The sequence below is a fragment of the Homo sapiens genome, chromosome 7 (assembly GCF_000001405.40).
Source record: "Homo sapiens chromosome 7, GRCh38.p14 Primary Assembly".
NCBI classification, from domain to species: Eukaryota; Metazoa; Chordata; class Mammalia; order Primates; family Hominidae; genus Homo; species Homo sapiens.
This window is the reverse complement of record NC_000007.14, coordinates 86,626,945-86,646,328: the sequence shown is the minus strand read 5'-3', so window position 1 is coordinate 86,646,328 and position 19,384 is coordinate 86,626,945. Positions and strand designations below refer to the sequence as shown.

Sequence of the window (19,384 nt, the reverse complement as noted above, 5' to 3'; positions counted from 1 at the left end):
AACACTACCCATTGTGAAAGGAAAAGTATTACAATAATTTCTGGCATACAATAGCTTCCAAATATATTCAAATTCTATTGGGCTGATTTTAGAAACAAGGTACGTAGGAATATAGAATCATATTTATTCATTAGAGTGTCCTAAGCATCTTTGTTAGGAACTGTTATCCATAGTTTAGCATAGTGGCAATCTAGATTACTTTAGTAATGCCTATATTGAATATACTTCTGCAAACAATTAGAATTCAGAGAGGAATCTTAAAGTGTGTGATCAGATAAACCAAAGCAGACTCCACCCCCTAAACTCCCTCCCACCCCCCCCCACCCCCCCACCCCCACCCCCCCGCCCACCACAAAGAAACATACTGTAGCTGTGCTGGACAGTTCTAAGAAATTCAAGCAAAGAAACTCTAAGGAACTATTGTTGGTACTTAACTCACACCTACCTCAACTCACATTAACCTCAACTTTGAATATTCCAATATGTACCTACATATAGACCCCAAACATATCTATTACTATTCAAATAGTAGAAATATTTTTATAAGCAAATTAGTTGAGTCCTTAACCAAAGATCTTTAGAGGTGTATAGTTTTGTTTTTCAAAATTTACAATATCTAAAATACTTAAAGTGGGAGAATCCTTCCTTAATATATTTACCTAAAAGTGTTGTACCTTAGAGAATTGTCCACCTTTGATAACCCAAGGAATAACTAGAAAGAAATTTAAATGAAATCCTTAAGAAACAAGCTTATTGGATATATCACCTAGTCTATTTTTGGATCGCAAATCTCCCGCCCTCTCTGAGTTATCTCACTGTCAGATAAGAAAATGGAACAGGGTCGATGAAAAGATATGCTCCCTGTCTGGCTTTTCGATTTTTCACTCAAGCCAAAAGGAGCAAAGGGCAGTGAGTTAAGGCTCCTTTCCAACCCTGCTTGCGGGAGGGCAAACCTCTGGCCGCCTCCGGCTTCGGAGCTTATCTGGGCTGCATGGACCAGGTCTCGCTGACCGTTGCCCACCTCTGCCTGCAACCTCCACACCCACATGAAACCGCCCGTATCCACGGATTCCTGTGCACAAAGCCTTAGGGAGCCCCCAAATAGAAACAAATTCTGAGCCCAGAGCTGAGATGGAGGTGGTTGGCTGATGAGACTGGTCTCTCTGGGGTCTGCGAGTGCTAGTTCGTCCCTTCACCTCTCGCACCCTGGCCGCAGATCTATGCCCTGAAATCTCCCTCCTCCCAGACACAGACGTGGGCGCACACACACAAACTCTCACTCATGCACACCCACATCGCCTCTGCCCTCCACCCTTCCCACTCCAGTCAGGACTGTAGGGACTGGTCCATGCTCTACCTCAACTTTCCCGGCTGCGCCTGCCCCACGCGGCACCCGAGCTTCCGCGCCCTGGCTGGGCGCCCTCCAGAGGGACACGTCCTCCTCTGGGACCCTTACCTCGCACCGACAACTCCTGGCAGGAACTGGAGCTGACCGCGGTGGCAGCGGCGGCGGTGAGCCTGCACCCGGGCTCTGGCTCATGGTTGGTCCTCCTCATCCGACACAAAAGAGGTAGCTTACTGGCTTTGTCCTTTCCAAATCCAAGGGAGAACTTATTTTGCCCTCGAAATGGCCAACTTGTGCGCGCAGCTTCCTGTCACAGTGCCCCCTGCCCCTGCCCCCTCCCGGCTGCACGCTGGACCACTGCCCGGTGGCAGAACATCCAGGCATCCGAGTCAGTGGGGAGTGGGAAAACGGAGGGGTGGAGTAGAAGAGAGGGAGGAGGTTGGGGAAAGAGGGGACCCAGTGGTCTTCCGCGGAGGGGAGGGGAGCTCTTCCCAGCCGAGTCCCCTCCTCCTTCTCTTATCAGGCAAACCCACTTCCTAGGCGCGGAAGCAACTTTCCTTCACCTTGACCAGGCTGAAGCCGTCGCATCTAATTGGGACTCTTGGCAGAAGCACGGACCTCCTGGCATCCTCTCCTTTTCATTCTTTCCTCCCTCTCTCGTTCTTTTCCCTCCCCCACCCTCCCTCTTATAAGGGTATATCTGCAGAGTCTTCAGTGAGCCAGGGTACCTAGACGAGAGGATTTTTATACGAAAAGCCAGGGTAGATTTGCCGACTGCTTTGCCTCACTCTGAAATCCTTAGGCAGTGCATGCAAAGGTCGGTGAATTTCGGAGTGGGGTGAAGGGGCATGGGGCGGTAGGGAGGGTGGCGGCTCCAACTTTAAAGCTCTGCTAGAGCGCTTGGCTTTCAGGTAAGCAGGGACTAACAGTCCTTACAAGAACTCTCCTGTGGTCCCTGGGCAGGGGGCTGACCGCATGCCAGAGGAGATTAGGAGAGCGGGAGCAGAGAGGGAGTGTGAGAGCCAGGGAGGCCGGTACGCAGCTCAGCCGTACTCGCGACTCAACTGCACACTGCGAGCCCCTGGAGAGGGTTTGTGCAGAACAATCTCTGGGTCAGGCGGGAGGCAGACGCTCCTGTTTCCTAGCAACCCTTATCAATCTTCTCCCTCTGAAGGAATTCAATTGGACAGCCCCTGGAGAAAAGCCACGCCCATCCGGGAATGCTGGGCTGCTGCTTTTTCGCATTCTCCCAAATTTCTTGGGTGGAATAAGATTATAGGGGACTGCTGAATTATCTTTCTTCTTATCCTTTTCTGCTACCACCTCGCCTCTTAAAGCTACCCCCAGCACCCCCTCATTGGTCCTTCTCTAGTCCTGCTATGGTTGTCGGATACAGTCAATGTTTCCTACAGAACCTCTTCTTTCTTCTTAAAAATAAATAAATAAATAGGAACCTTAAATCGGTGACGTAGGCACAAAAGAGAAAAAGGCACGCGGAAACAGCTTTAATAGGCTGCCAGCTACAGATAAAATCCTAAAGGTAAAATTCCAGGCATCTTTCTATGTCTAGAAACACATACTGTTTAATTTCCAAATTGAAACTTCATTAATTTTTGTACTCTAATATACTAACTTTGTATTAACCAAGGACTGAATTATATGAAGCCAGACACAATTAAACTTAATGCTTTAAATGCTACATTTAGTCTTTAATATTTAATGTTAAGTTGTTTAACAATTGCTGTCTTTTGTAACCTAGCCAGAACTTTTAAACTACAGAAATAATTTTACCTACTGATTCTTTTAGAGGGACAGCAATATTTAAAAGACACATGTGCATATATATATATATATATATATATATATATATATTTCATTGTGAACTCCACTAGATCCAGAAATTTGAATATATTAAAAAATAAAGTGTTATTATATAGTGAAATGCTAAAATTTTAGAAGTCCCCCTTTCAACGTATTCTTTCTGGAATGCAATAGCATTGACCACGTACAAGCAAAATTCCTCTTCCTTTGTGTTTCATTAGTATTTTCCAGCATGAATTGTTCACCAAAAAAAGATCTTTATAGGAATTTAATTTTAATTTTAAGAATTTATTTACTTTTAACAATGTCTGCCCAATAGACAACTGTATATCAAGGGGCAATGACATGAACATGAGAAAGATAAAGATTTATACACTGCAAGGCTTCAGATCCTCATGAAGCTGTGTGGGTAGATTTTGGTCTCTTTCAGAACGTTCCAGAAGACATCATTTTGCGCTTCCAAGACCTTATCAGAATTAGCTGGGATTGAGAGAAGTAGAAGAGAGCTGATGTTTTTGTCTCACACACACAAAAGTAGCTGATGTTTGCACAACGGAAAGTGCTGATAAACTGCACTCCATAGTCTGTATCTAGCTGTTAACTAAGGCTTGTGGTGAGTAGAGGCTGAAATGCTGAGGCAAATTATCAGTCTGTTATCAGATATTGCCTGATGAGACACTTCTTTCCTCTCCCACGTTACGCCATACACACAAAGGAATTCCTCAATGTGAATCCTGAATTTTCATCACTTCCTAGCTGCGTGAACTTGGGCAAGTTTCTTAACCTGCCTATATGTCAGTTTCATCATCTGTAAAATGGGAATAACAATTGCTCATACCTCAGAATTATTTTGAGGATTAGTAAATCCATGTAAGAAGCATATAAATATTAGTTACTATTAAAAATCCCTGGTTTATATAATAGTTAACTGATGGTATTTTAATTGTTGAGCATATTTAATTGAAAGCAATTAGTCTTCACTGTTTAAATTCGTCATTGATCGGGAATATAGATTGGCTTTTAATGTTTATTTGTTGGTGTGTGTGTGTGTGTGTGTGTGTGTGTGTGTGTGTGTGTGTGTTTTCGAGTTACTTTTAAAAGCCTCAAGGGATAGGTCTAAATAAAAACCTCTGACTAAGTAACATGTCAATTAAGAGATTACATTATCCCTCTCTTCACACCCTCCCCAAGTATTCTAGCTGGGCTCCATTTCTAAACAATCCTAGTTCCTTTTCTTAATTACATCTGATGTATCAAGTTTCTCAAATATTTTTCAAGTGAAACACATGTATTTGGGCATCTAGATCACTCCTTGTAGCTCATATTTTTATTAGTTTATCTAAATTTCACTAATTCATCTATATTTGTTTGAGTAACTAAATCATGATGTTTTTTCTTAGGAGTCTTTACCATTAACACTTGGACTTCTTTACAGTGATTTTTTAAATATGGCCTGTAGGCTGGGGGCGGTGGCTTACGCCTGTAATCCCAACACTTTGGGAAGCTGAGGTGGGTGGATCACCTGAGGCCAGGAGGTTGAGACCAGCCTGGCAAACATGGTGAAAACCCCTCTCTACTAAAAATACAAAAAATTAGCTGAACATGTGGTGGGTGCCTGTAATCCCAGCTACTAGGGAGGCTGAGGCAGGAGAATCACTTGAACCCAGGAGGTAGAGGTTGCAGTGAGCCAAGATCACACCACTGCACTCCAGCCTGGGCAATAAGAGTGAAACTCCACCTCAAACAAAAACAAAAAACAAATAAATATGGCCTGTAAAGTGTCCCATCTTTCATCCAGAATAAACGTTGAAAATGGAAGTACTGTCATCATTAATTACAAATAAAATGGCTTCCATGTCCCCATGCTGATCCATAGTTTACTCTCACTAGCATTCTCTTTGAAGCAAACCTCCATTTTGCTTCAGAGATCAATTTCTTTGTTGGTTTCTACTACCAGTCAGAAATGCACTGTTCTCTTTGAAGCAAACCTCTGTTTTTCTTCAGAGATCAATTTCATTGTTGCCTTCTACTACCAGTCAGGAATGAACTGTTATTTTGGTCACATAGGGTAATCAGGCATCCAATTTATGCAGAACAGTTCTGGTTTACATCTGTTGTCTGAATGTATTCATAGTCTTCATTTTATTTCTCAAAGTGTCAGGTTTGGGCATTAAATTATATGGCTACCTAAACCTTCTAGTCATCTGGCCATACCTCTTGCTTCAGCCTTTACTTGCTTCATCTGCCCTGTGACTGTAAATTCCTCTGTATAATTTTTTAAAGAATAGGATTGACTGATCTATTCTGGGGACTTAAAGTACATATGTCCTTGTAAATATATAATACTAAAATTCTCTTTAATTTGCTAATAAGCATCCCTCATTCACTTTTCAACTTCTTTCAAAAATACGTTTCTCCTTAGAACATCTGTAAATTCTTATTTTAATTACTGTTGCAATATATAAAAATAAATGTATTCTAGTCTTGCTTTTGACTGAAGCCTCCATGCAAAGAGGAGCCAATTACTCCATATTCCAAAGTAAGAGTTGTCACACCCCCTGTGCTGGATTCGAGTGGAGTATCCCTAATCCATGTGGAATATAAGAGAGTTAAAAGAAAGGTAGGGAATACAAGCATAGAGAGTTTTTGGTGTTCTTTTAAATATGCAAGCCCAGGGTGAGGGTTTATATACTTTCTCCTTGCTTCAACTCTAATGAAGTGTGCTGCTGCTATAGGAAAACCATTGCTATGTTCCGTTGGAGTTAGGGTGATGTAGTGAACTGCTTCACAGCAGAGAAATATAAAACACTGTGTCTGAATCTGTCTTTCAGAGGACTAAAATAAAATAGGGCAAGTGACTGCACTTGCCCTTATGTCAGGCAAAAGGGATGGGTTTCCTGTGTACTCTATTTGGGTAGAGTGAGCACAGAGCAGGAGACGTGTTTTCTTAGCCCCTACCCAGAAGTACTTGGTGGAGAATCTGTGATTCCAGTAGACAGTCTGTGAAGGGCACAGGGCTGTGGTAATGTCACCTTGTAGGTTGTGGTCTGCACAAAGGCTCCTGGCTGAGAGGTGAGAAGGAGCTGCTTGCCCAGGCTTGTGCATAGGGCTGTATCAACATGGTGGGAGGGCACCTGTCTATACTTCATCAACCTGGAGGTGCCACCATTTTATAATTCACATAAAGGGTGGTAGTAGAAGGCTGAAGGAGAAATGCAGACAACCAGAGGCTTTGGGTAGGGTAGTCAGTGGCCTGTCATGAATGCCTCGCCAGAATCAGGTCAGAGTCTGCAGTGAGAGATCCCCAGAGCCTGAGGGTCTTCAAAGAACTGAGGAAATTGGGATCAGGAAAGTCAACTTTGAACACCTGCAAAGCCCAGGAAAATGCAATGCTAGATCAGTGCTAGACAAATAAGATTTTTCATGTCTCCTTATACCTTCTATCTCTGACCTCTTCAATTCAGAGAGATCAAAAGCTCCAGCTGCTGATTAAGGTGGAGGGAGGATGAGGATGAGGAAGCCGGCTGGGCAGAAAGAAGAGCCTGCCAGGTCCTACTGCAGGCTGCCATCTGGCTGCCTTCCAAGGCTGGGTGAGGGGAGAAGCATTAGCTCAGGTGGATACTGGAGTTTTAATTATTACTCTGCCTTAGACCTGATTTTACTTGAGTCTGTAGCATTTTCTTTTTTTCTACTGAAATGAAAGAAGGAATGTTTTATCTGGGAACAATCTGAAAGTCGAGTCACTGATTTTCAGTTACATCCAAGGGAATAGAGATGGACAAGCCCTATAGGCTGGATATGCAGGGGCAATGGGGGGAAAGAATAAAATTGTTTTGTGGTGCTTTATGAGCCTCAGTTGTTAGGTATATAAATGCTCTGATCAGTGCTTTGGATCTTTTGTATTTTTCCCCCTGATTCTCACAAGGAAAAAATAAAAGGAGTAGCCCTTGTCTATTTACTGTTTGTTTTGGTTTCTGTTCTGCATATTGTACAGTTAACACCTGAATTAAGGTTAGTTCTAAACTTGAATGTTCAAATATTAAAGTACCTATAGCCCATAAATGGCTGCTTTGGGACATTTTAATTTTTGATTATAAACAAATATGAATAAAAATAAATGTAAATAAATATTAATATAATTTGGGGATTACTTGATAATAAGAATCACCAGTAATAGAAGTACTTGTGTATTTGTCTTCTATAAATAACATAGGTGCTTCATGACGGCAGGCACTATGACTGTTATATTTTTCCTTATAACCCCTGTGCTTATGGAAATGATGAGGATGGCAGTGAGGAGGGAAAGCTTGCTCAGTAGACATTTGTGGAGTGAATGAGTTAAACTTTAAAGATTAAAAGTTCACCTTGACATATTTTATTGAGGAAACGGAATCGTGGACATAGCATGGATTTCTGAATTTCTATATAGGAGAAGTTTAGAAGTGTTAGTCTGGTTCATCAGACTGTAAACTTCAGGAGGAGGGGTGTGTTTGTGCTACCCATCTACCTATCTTGACTGCCTAAAACTGTAGAGCTCAGTAGGCATCTGATGAATGAAAGACTAAATGGCTGAAAGGCCTTTCTAGGGGTTTTGTCTCAAACTATATATTCATAATATGCAAACTCTTTTTAGTTTTAGGTTTCTCAAATAATTGTTTTGAGGATTGGGGGTGGGATAATAGGATCTGATAAAGATTATCAGCATTGTAGGGGAGTTAAATCCTCTAAGCACAGTCATTGCTTGGAGGGGTTAATTCATACAGATGTGTGTTAGAATCACTGCTGTTACTTTGGGCTTGTGACTCCAGTGTAAATAAATTATGCAGAGCACAAACACTGAAGGAGCTCAGAAGACAGGAAAGCATGTTAACTGGGTTTGCTTTTCCACCTAAAAATTTATTCTCAGAGATTTCGGGATAGGTTTTTATTGCATATTTTAGATATAACATGTTTATGGTATTTATTTTGGTCTTATATTGATTATTTTCTTCCTGACAATTCAAATCTATTTTTCATACCCAGAAGTGATGGTTTACTAATTGTATCATCTCTAAATCAGCCATTCATCTGAAAGTAATATCTGATTAGTTATGTGCATATGTATTTAAGTAATAGTCATGAGAGATGATCATGGGCCAAACACTATGCCAAGTACCTGGGATACCAAGGAGATAAGAGGAGAGCTTTACCCTTGAATATTTCTCTTCTGATAATACGAAGTAGACATGTCAACAATTTTTTAAAAAGGTAACATGATGAAATATATAAGAGAGGTCCTTTATGAAGAAGAGTGACCTAGTACAAGTGGCCACTATAAAGAACTCAAAATAAACTCCTGAGCTCAAATGGCCTTTAATTATGATGACCCAAGGCAAGAGTCTGCTGTTTCATGAATGCTTTACTTCAAGACTCAACTTTGAAATATGTGTATTTGAGAAAGGGAGTGTATGATTAAGAGGGCTTTTTGGCTGGAAGTAACACATAAGCCAACTAGTAATGACTTAAACAAATAGTAGTCTTCTAGCTTTATTTTCACAGACCAAGACTATGAAAGTAGGCAGCTTTTGAGATTGCTTCAGTGGCTCAGTGTTGTCAAGGCCAGCATCTCTGTCTTTTCCTTTATGTCACAGCATTGCTACTATAGGTCCAGCTATCACATCACTTCAGGAGACAGAAATAAACAGGACCAGCAGTGTAAGCTATATTTGCCCCTTGTGTCAAGAATGCATAATCTTTCTCAAAATCACATAGCAGAGTATTGTTTATGTCTCACTGGCCAGATCAGTTCATATGATTGCTTATAGTTGCAAATTAGGTTGGAAAACTGTGTAAATAGTTTTTTAACCTCTTAGTTCAAGGCATCAAAGAAGAGAGTGAATGGGATTGGCTGTTGAGCCAGCCAGCCAGTAGTGTCTGACTCAGGGAGTAATCTCACTACTTAGCTCTTCTTACACCTTTTCTATACTGGAGATAGTTTTCTAGCCCATATTTAGATATTGATGTCTAAAGCATGACTGCACACTGAGATACCTCTGCTAGTTTTGTTCTTATGTTTTCATTCAATAATAAATATTTATTGAGGGCCTACTCTGTACCAGGCAATGTACTATATTCTGGGTATGTAAGATAGATTAGTTCTCAGTATAATGGAACATACAGCCAGAGAAATGTTTTCAATCAATATGGAGCTTTAATTTTAGGAATGTTCCAACCACAGCCCTTATGACTGGGAGATGTCACAAGCACTTAGTTTTGTATTTCAGATAATTTTACTCTAATTCACAATATTCTGCTTTTTGATATTTTTTGGTACTTTGAAAATATTCTTTTCATTAAAAACAAAAACAAAAAAACTCCCATTCCCCATCTCCTCATTTCTTTCTTTAACATTTCATATATTTAAACAATATTTAATACGTTCTCCAGGTTCATAAATGAATCTATTTTCCAATGTGAAGGGGAATGTACCTAATTGGGAAACCTTTGCCACAGGGAAAATCAAGTTTGTTAATAATGAAGAAATTTTCTTTTCTTGTCTAGTGCAAGGATATCTTAAGAAAGATTCTTGGTGGAGAAATCATATAAATGTAAATATAAGACATTAGAATTTGCTATCATTTCTGTACCAGAATTCAATAGAATAAATTCAAGATTTCAGGAAAGTGTTTTTCTCAGAAAAAGCATATTTAGTTTAAATGATCTTAGTAATTGAGTAAAATCCTTAATTAGGTAATTGTTTCTATTGTCTAGCTTAGTTTAGTAGTGGATATTTAGTCACTGAGGGCATGATACTTCAATTAGATATAGTGTCAAATTAGTAGCGACTTATGATGGCTCTACTATCTCAACAAAATTTTTTAAAAATACATACTGCTCAAATGAGAATATCTCAGGCTGAAAAGAAGGATTGGATTAAAGTTCCGGGGAAATATTTATTAAAATTATGTGTTAGTCACATATCTTCACTTTGATGATTCATTATTTTTCCTAAAACATAATTATTTTGATTCTAAAAGTTGCAGAATAAATATACTCATTAGTTACAATGACTAGAGTATAATGAGAAGTTGTCTTTCTTACAGTTTGCAGGGAGGAAAATGCAAATGCCCTTCTTCTTCTCCAATAATAAAGTTGCTCTTACCCATCCTATCTGTATAGAAGGGTATGATTTCATAAATTGATGTTTGAGAAACAGGTATGGATCAGAAAATTGCAAAATAAGAACAATGAACAGCTAACAGAAAAGTCAGCTAGTACAGTGCCTCTCAACCTTTTTTTTTTTTTCTGCCCAGAACTCATGGCTGATGATGTAGTCATTCTCAAAGGTATATCTGGAGTTATTTTGAATTCTATGGTCATCTGTAATTCTGTTCCTTTTTCTTCTACTAAAGGAGGATATTAGAATGCAGGTGAATAAGAGCAACTTCACTCTAGGAACATCCTTGTATCCCTGATAGTTTACATAGAAAGTAAAACATTCAGGCAAAGTAAAACATTCAAAAACGTTGTCACTTCATTAAAAAATAAAAATGCTAATTTCTTCTATTCTTTTTCTTCTTGCAGGAATAGCTGTGATAAATTTGTAGTTCATGGTCTTCCTCAGAGACCTTTCCATATTTACATTATTAATATTCTTCCTTTGAATAGCATTTTTCAGCTCTCAAAATGCTTTCACTTATAGATTTTACCAAAACTCCTTGAGATTATATACATATATATATATATATATATATATATATATATATATATATATATATCTCCATATCCTATTGGCCAGGCACAGTGGCTCACGCTTGTAGTCCTAGCACTTTGGGTGGCCAAGGTGGGCAGATTGCTTGAACTCAGGAGTCTGAGACCAGCCTGGCAGCATAGTGAGACACTGTCTCTTCCAACAATACAAAAAAATTAGGCAGCAGTGATGGCATGGTGGTGGTCCCAGCTACTTGTGGGGCTGAGGTGGGAGGATCAATTGAGCCTGGGAAGTGAAGGTTGCCGTGAGCCGAGATCACACCACTGCACCACTGCCTGGTGACAAAGTAAGACCCTGTCTCAAAAAGAGAAAAATCATACTCTATGTATTTTCTAGATGAGGAATTTAAAGCTAAAAGAAATTAAGTGACTTAATAAATGGCTTTAAGGTCATATGGCAAAGTTAGTCAAGCCAGAACTTCAATCAAGTGAATTGATTTTTAATCCAGTATGTGTTCCAATATTCCCCCCTACCTCTCTTGCTCCCTGTTCACTGGATGATACCTTTTGACTGCATCCATCCCAACTACAAACCACTCTGTGTTTGTGGGCACTCTATATTTAGATTGTTTTTTATACCCAAACCTCCCCCTGCCTCAGAATTCTGCTGAGCATATCTTTTCCACAGGGCTTAACTTTTAGTAGCTTTGTAATGTATTAAAAATGTGATCACATAATTTACGCATGTAACAAACCTGCATGTGTACCCCCAAACCTAAAATAAAAAGTTGGAAAGAAAAAAATAAAAGATAACATATAAAGTGAAAAGAAAAGTATTATTAAATAAACTCATCTCTACTAAGGACTTAACCAGATAATGGTAACCTCTTCATGGTTAGTTTTAACTTTAAGTAGTAATATCATTACTGAGAAATATCTTCCTGTCTTCATGATCTAATCAACCTCATAGTAAACTAGGAGGAAAGGTATCATGTCCACTTATTCAATATTCTTTGCCTGGAACTTAGTGCAGTATCTGAAACATGTTTGTTGAATGAGTGAATTTCAACAATATTGCCGATACCCTGCTTGATTATCACCACAGATGGATGCTGTAGAACATATAAAGTTTGAAATGTAAATTGTGATAATGTAATTATGTATTAGAGGTGAGATTAACTAGGTGTATCTGTCAGAACTGACTAAATTCTGCTGTGGCAATAAACAAATCTCTTGTCTTAAAACAACACTCCTGCTACTTGTTGATTGAGGGTTTGCTGGAGCACTGTTTCATGTTGTTCTTTGTCTGGGACCCAGGCTGATGGAGCAGCCACCATCTGAAACATTGCCAGCTGTGGCAAAGGGAACAAAAGATATACAGGGTCTCACATCAGCACTTAAATACTCTTTCCAGGAAGAGACACTCATAGATTCTATGTACAACTCAGTAGCATAATGAATCCCAGCAACCACCACTCAGGGGATTAGGTGGGTGGAGAGGTCGGAGGTGCAATCCTACGCTGTGTGTGGAAGACATAGAGCCTGAAATAAGTGTTGAAAAACACGAATGAATTGATACAATGGTAAAACAGTGTTCATCTTGTGTGGGAGCTGTTTCTGTGTTATGTATTATCCCAGAATGGAAAAATAAGCATTTCTATTATTTGACCATTTTCTATGGGTTAGGCACTGTGTTATTGGCTTACATATATTGCCTCATTAATTCATACAATGACCCTGGGAGGGAAGTATTATGATTATTATTATTACTTTTATAAAGATGAAAATATTGAAGTGAAGTGAGATTAAGTAGCTTGCCCACTTAATAAATGCTGGGGGAGGATTAGGGCTCAGGTCTGTGTGACTCCAAAGATGGTGCCCTCAACAGCTATGGTCTTTCCTTTATATTATACCTCCAAGTCCTTCAGTCTTCATCATTTGGTTACTAATTTGCTTTTGATTTTCACTGGGCCCCTGAATGTCCTTTTGTCCACAATGCTAAGTAAGCATGCTTTTAAAAGTCAATACAAAGTAGAAAATGAGCAATCTGCTTTTGTTATACATACTGAAAGTGTAATATCTCTGATCTAAAAGAAAAGGTGCTATGAGACAATTCAGACAAACAAATAGTCAAGACTGACTAATCTTATTAGGCAAGACATGAAATTGTATTGTTCTGGTAAAATCAAGTTCTAGATCCTATTCCCATTGACTATATAAAATGTTGATTCAATGTCTGAAAATTGCTTATTGTAGTTCCAAAATGTTTACTAGCTTTAATTATTCTCATAAAATTGAAATTTCCATTTAGTAATAAGGTTTTCAGTTTTTTAAAACAAATATTACTTCATACTTAGAATTTTTTTCTGTGGAACTTTTATTCTATAAAGACAAGGTTTTCTTCCAATTAAAAACCTTTAGAGATTATTTTAAGTGTAATCTTCTCTAGTGTTGCATTCTTTTTTGTTTTCAAATACAACATTAATTTTTGATTGGGCGAGGGAATCTCTTTTTTCCTTGTTTTATATTTCCAAACACTCAAGAATAAGCATAGCACTAACTGGCCTGTTTGCCCTCTCATTCACTGCTCCTCAGGAGAAGAGTCAATTATCATACAACTAACATACATGGGAGAATGAACAGGGCTTGTACAACTTAACTGCTTCTCTTTACTTACTTCGCATGGGATCTGCCCACACAAAGCATGTATCTTATTAATGGAAGGTCCTAATTTAAATGACAGGGAAGGTCCATTTCTCTCTTGGTGCACAAAATAATGGCAGGTCTTATGAACCTGATGTCATTTATTAGATAAAATATGGTATTCTGTTTTTATCTCTAATATATGGTAGATGATCTGACTATGGGGGCTGTATTAGGAAGGCTTTCTGGCTACATATCTAGGCTGTGACACCAACAGCTTCCTCAGTAATAAAACTGGCATCTCCATACTTCTGACTCATTTGATCAGCTATCAGATGGTTCTGAACTTCAACAGGAGGAGAAGAGTGTTGTATATTAAATCTTTAAGCCCTCAAATCTCATATATTGGACTAGCCAACTTGGCAATAGATAAGGAGCAGAATTTGGTAAGAAAGGGAACTGTGGAGATTGAAGCATCTTGTTGAAGCAAGACCCTAAGTGATCCAAAAGAATGGCCTCGGGGTTTTGTTTCACCAAGTAGGAATAGAAGTGGGAGTCATGTTTTTTTTTTTTTTTTTTTTTTTTTTTTTTTACTTTGGTAGGTGGTAACTTTCTATAGCTTGCCATATGGCTACTTTTTACAATTTATTATTATTATTTTTTTTTAGCTCATGCACCCTGGGTGGGTAGCATTAGGCCTCAGGCTTTAGTAAATTGGCCAGGTGGGATTTTGACTTTGATGGGTCACTGGAGCATATTAACTTTGTCCTAGGAAAGTGACAGTTTTTATTCAGGCAAGGCTGCAAGCACCTGTGCCTTAGACAAACTTTAGCCATACAGGTGACCTCAGCATCTTGGATACAGATACCTTTAGGTGAGACTGTGACAGCAAGACCTTGAAAATTCATAGTCTCAGCTTAGCCTGGTATTTCAGGTAAAGCTGAGTTGAGATTAGTCCTTTTAGTACTCGTAAGGAATAACATTTGTTACTTTTAAACTGCAAGGCAGCTGAGTTTTGCATATTCTATAGAATACTAATGAGGTTCTGGCTTTGCAGTTTGTACCAGGTTTGTGTAGGCAGTGCTATTCCAGCTGTTTCACATTCTGTTCATCTTCATGTCATGTCACCTGACTTTAAGACAAAGAGAGATAAGTGTAGAAGGAATAAACTATGTGGCCTCAAGTTGGATAGAGTTGTGTTAAGTGACTAAACATTGGCTATACATCCCAATTTCAGAGACCCATGTTATGGGTTTTCCAGAGATGTGTGGTAGAATTTTATAAATAAACAAATAATAATGAATGAAAGCCCTTATTATGAACAGAATATGCTATCCTCTTGAGATGAAGTAAACAGAGCTCAAAGTTCAGTTGTTGCAAACCCAGTCTAAGAAGGCAGTTGAAAAGCCCTGTATCAGCCATTATGGAAAATAATATGGAGGTTCCTGAAAAAATTAAAAATAGAGCTACCATATGATCCAACAATCCCAACACTGGGCATATATCCAAAAGACATGAAATCAATAATGTCAAAAGATATCTGCACTTCTGTGTTTATTATATCACTATTCACAATAGCCAAGATATGGAATCAACATAAGTGTCCATTAACAGATGAATGGATTAAAAAATATGGTATATATACACAATGAAATTCTATTCAGCCATAAAAAAGAATGAAATTCTGCCATTTTCCACAACATGGATGAACCCAGGGGACATTATGTTAAGTGAAATAAGCCAATCACAGGACAAATACTGTACAATCATACTCGTGTGGAATCTATAAAAGTTGATCTCATAGAAGTTGAGAGTAGAACAGTGGTTATCTACTGTATTGTATATTTCAAATAGCTAGAAGAGAGGATTTTGCGTGTTCTCACCACAAAAATGATAAATGTTTGTTGTGAAAGATATGTTAATTGCTCTGATTTGATCATTAAACAATGTATGCGTGTATTGAAACATCACACAGTATCCCATAAATCTGAACAATTATTATGTATCAATTAAAAACAAAATGAAAACATTCTTAGCAAAAAAAAAAGCCTGTACTTTTTTAACTCTAGAATCAAGTTATTTCAGGAAATTGAACAGCAACTGGAATTATTAGTTAAAAACAAAATAAAAGAAGACTACTAAATAAGCCGAAGAGAGTTGCTTATTGGAAAAAATGATATTTTAGTTGGCAGACTAGACAAGTATTTCCTTTTATATCTGACAAACAATACCAGTCAGATATAGAAGGAAGAAGAATTGAACTAGGCCTAACAGCTCTAAGGAGATAGAAGAAAAGGAGAGATATTTGTTTAGTTGTTGCTAAGACAGAAATAATGACAGCAGGACTGAATAACTGTGCTGGAAGGAACCAGGATCCAAAAATGACTATGGAGGTTATCTTTGAAAGCTGAAAATAGAAGATCCCTTGTAAGAATAATTGAGTAAATATACCTAGAAGATTAGGATGTCTGTGACATTTGGTTACAAGAAAACTTGGACATGTTCAAGGGAAAAAATTAGGATGATCATTGCAAAATATTCAAATCATTAGTGAGTTTCAAAATGATAGTTACTATAGGGGGAAGTCATATATTACCATTGTCCTGAGGGAACATGCTTGAGGAATTTATGAATTCATATTCTACTGGAAGGCGGAACAAAATGAGGCAGGCAGAATGATAATATAGTGGGGCTTTATCTCTACATCAGTCTAAAGAGGATGTTCTATAGGTTGGGATTAACCAACAAGGGAAGATAAATATTTTTTTCTTGATAGACCCAGACTCACTAGTTTTATCTCTCTCACTATGCCAGTTTCCAAAAGATAAAATCTAAAGAAGTATATTAGTAAAACAAGCTTCTCGGCTAGAAAATCATAACTAAAACAAACAAGTCACTGAAATTCAGTAAACAGCACTGGTCCTACATCTAGTAGAGAAAGAAATTAACTTAAGTAAAAATCAAATTGTTACCAGTACTCCTTAAAACAGCTAAGGTCATCCAAAACAAGAAAAACCTAAAAAACTGTCACGGCCAAGAGGAGCCTAAAGAAACACGACAACTAAATGTAATGTGATATCCTGAATGGGAGCCTGGAACAGAGAAAGGACATTAGGTAAAAACTAAAGACATGTAAAAAAGCATGGCCTTTAGATAATGTATGAGTATTGATTAATTAATTGTGACAAATGAATCATTAATGTTAGATTGTAATATTAGGGGAAATTGGGTATGGGTACATGCAAACTGTACATCTTTACAACTTTAAATCTCAAACCAGTCTAATAAAAAGGTTTGTGTAAAACAATTGAATTGTTAGAAGATAAGACCTCGGGCAATTGCAAAGGGAAATGTTAGGAATGACAGTGTTTTGAGAAGCCCTCTTGGTCCTCGGCTGGCTGCGAAGGGCCCGGAACAAGTATTGATAGCAACCATAATGTAGAAGTTCACTGATGATTATTATTTATCTAAAACAACTGTGGGAAAGGAGGCCCTCTTTTTAAGAAACAGATTTTAAAGTAGCCTATAAGAAGAGGCAATAGAAATAGTTACTGAGACATAGGACTGAAGATATTCATTGCAAGCATTATGGAGGTTGCATCATTAAATAATGCTGACAATTCAACACTAGGGTGGCAGAAATTCAGGGCTCAAAGGAGAGATAAAAATTAAGAGCGTTCAAATATATTAAAAGGGACAGATACCTTCCATGATTGAGCTGGCCACTATTGCAATTTTTCAAACAACACAAAAACACACAGAAAAAGTAAATGGAGGATGAAACGGTATAATTTGGTGACTTTTCTATCCAGTACAAAACTGACAAACTTGTTGCTGTTATTCCATTTGTGGAATTCAGTTTATTCTCACAGGTGGAAAATTTGGCATATCTCTCATAGATTGACTGACATCTTAGCAAGGTTGACACAAAGATTCTTTCTGTTAACTTTCCTTCCCTCAGATGTCTCTGAGACCTTGTGTGATATCTGGCATTATTGTGTTGAGTTTCAAAACATAGTTTTGTCTGTGATAACTTCTAGTAGCTGAATAATGGTTTGTTTTCTAAGTTCCATGGATATAGGGTAAATACTGTGATAATATTGTGTATCTTATTAAATTTTTTGATCTTTAAAAAATGTAGCTTATGACAGACTTACCAATAACTATATTCTGTCTTAAGTTACCAAAAGAATTACCAAGGTTGGAGCTGCTGAAGGCTCCTTCTCCCCAGCATTAAGAATCCACCCTGTTGAGAATGAGGGGAATAACACATTGAGGAGAATACATTTTGGGTTATTAATTTTGTGGAGATTTTAACTCACAACGATGAATAAAATTTAATTTCTTTTGACTGTAAGTTACAAGAAAATTTCTGTTTTTATACTGTAATTTCCTACTAGGAAATTTTAATGAGAGTTGTATTTAGATTGGGACATATCTGTAGTTCTATTTTATAATTAGATAATCTTAATGTCATTTAATCATATTGTAGGTCTTCTAATGAGAAGTACTAAACATCATGTCTGTACATCATTTGGGATGGGAATAGAAAAATGTACCAAATTTTCTCATAAGGTAACAATGTGGCTTGAAATTAAAACATTGCCAAGACATTTAAAATCCAAAATATCTCCCATTATTGTGGAGAAAAGAAAGCATATTATGATGGCAGGTGGATACTTTACCCATCTATTAAAACTCAATATTGGAATGATAGTTTAAAATTTATGAAACACACTATCATTTGATTGATTCATCTGTCTGTTCATTCACCCAACCATCCATCCTTCACTTGCCTTGAATACATGCCTTATGCTTCCCAAGCAAATAAAGATCTTACTTCAAGCTTTGATTGGCACTAAGCAAGGAAGAAATATTTGAATGAGTAAAAAAATGAATGAGTTCTGTGATAAATGCAAATCATTATACTTATAAAAATGTTTAAATGTAACATAAGAGTAACAATGCCGGTTGGGCTCTTTGGCTCACACCTGTAATCCCAGCACTTTGGGAGGCCGAGGCGGACGGATCACGAGGTCAGGAGATCGAGACGGTGAAACCCTGTCTCTACTAAAAGTACAGAAAAAAAAAAAAAAAAGCCTGGCATAGTAGCAGGCGTAGTAGTAGTAGCCCCAGCTAGTAGGAAGGCTGAGGCAGGAGAATGTCGTGAACTTGGGAGGTGGAGGTTGCAGTGAGCCGAGATCACGCCACTGCACTCCAGCCTGGGCGACAGAGCGAGACTCTGTCTCAAAAAAAAAAAAAAAAAAAAAGAGAGAAAAAAAGAAAAAAGATTAACAATGCCATTTTACATTTATATTGTGCTATAGGAAAGTATTTTAAAGAATAAGAATCTGCTACTTAATAAAATCACTGACTTTTTAAATATTACACTGCTAGTATACAGTGGACAATGAATCACAAACTGATTTTTCTCTCCTAAACAAGGGCACTTTCCACTACACAGCACTACATCCTTGAAAAACATGGTTCTAGTTTCCTTTTTTATGCTCCTAGTTTTCTTTTAAAAGAAATTTGTGACGATATAAATCCAAAGGGAAAGACTTTTTGACTGGTAGTAATTTACATTTCTTAAGGTGCCCCCAGTGGCGACATAATTGATTTTGTTGCCATTGATTAAAAGTCACATTAAGTTTAGAACTGTCAGCTGAGACTAGAGATAATATTTTCATAATGTCTTTTAATAAACATGAAAGAAATGATTTCATTGCATTCATAAATTTGATTAATGATATTTTCTCAGGACCAAAATAAATGAACTGCTCGTTTCCAGGCCTAATTACTCAATTACAGGTATATTCTCCTGTAATACATATATTGGATAGGAGAAGAATCCTCCAGATATGGGCCTAGCAAATGACTAAAAAT

At 37.8% G+C, this 19,384-nt stretch overlaps 1 protein-coding gene across 4 annotated transcripts in view; it reads right to left on the bottom strand.

The window, feature by feature from the left end:
- Nucleotides 1-2,420, bottom strand: part of GRM3 (glutamate metabotropic receptor 3) — a 220,971-nt gene extending 218,551 nt beyond the window's left edge. For 3 of the 4 annotated variants that reach the window (NM_000840.3, NM_001363522.2, XM_017012073.3), the window contains exon 1: nt 1,457-2,420. The gene's annotated coding sequence lies outside the window, so the exon portion shown is untranslated. The remainder of the gene's footprint in view (nt 1-1,456) is intronic. The other variant, XM_047420268.1, reaches the window with a different exon arrangement.
- Nucleotides 2,421-19,384: the final 16,964 nt, after the last annotated feature.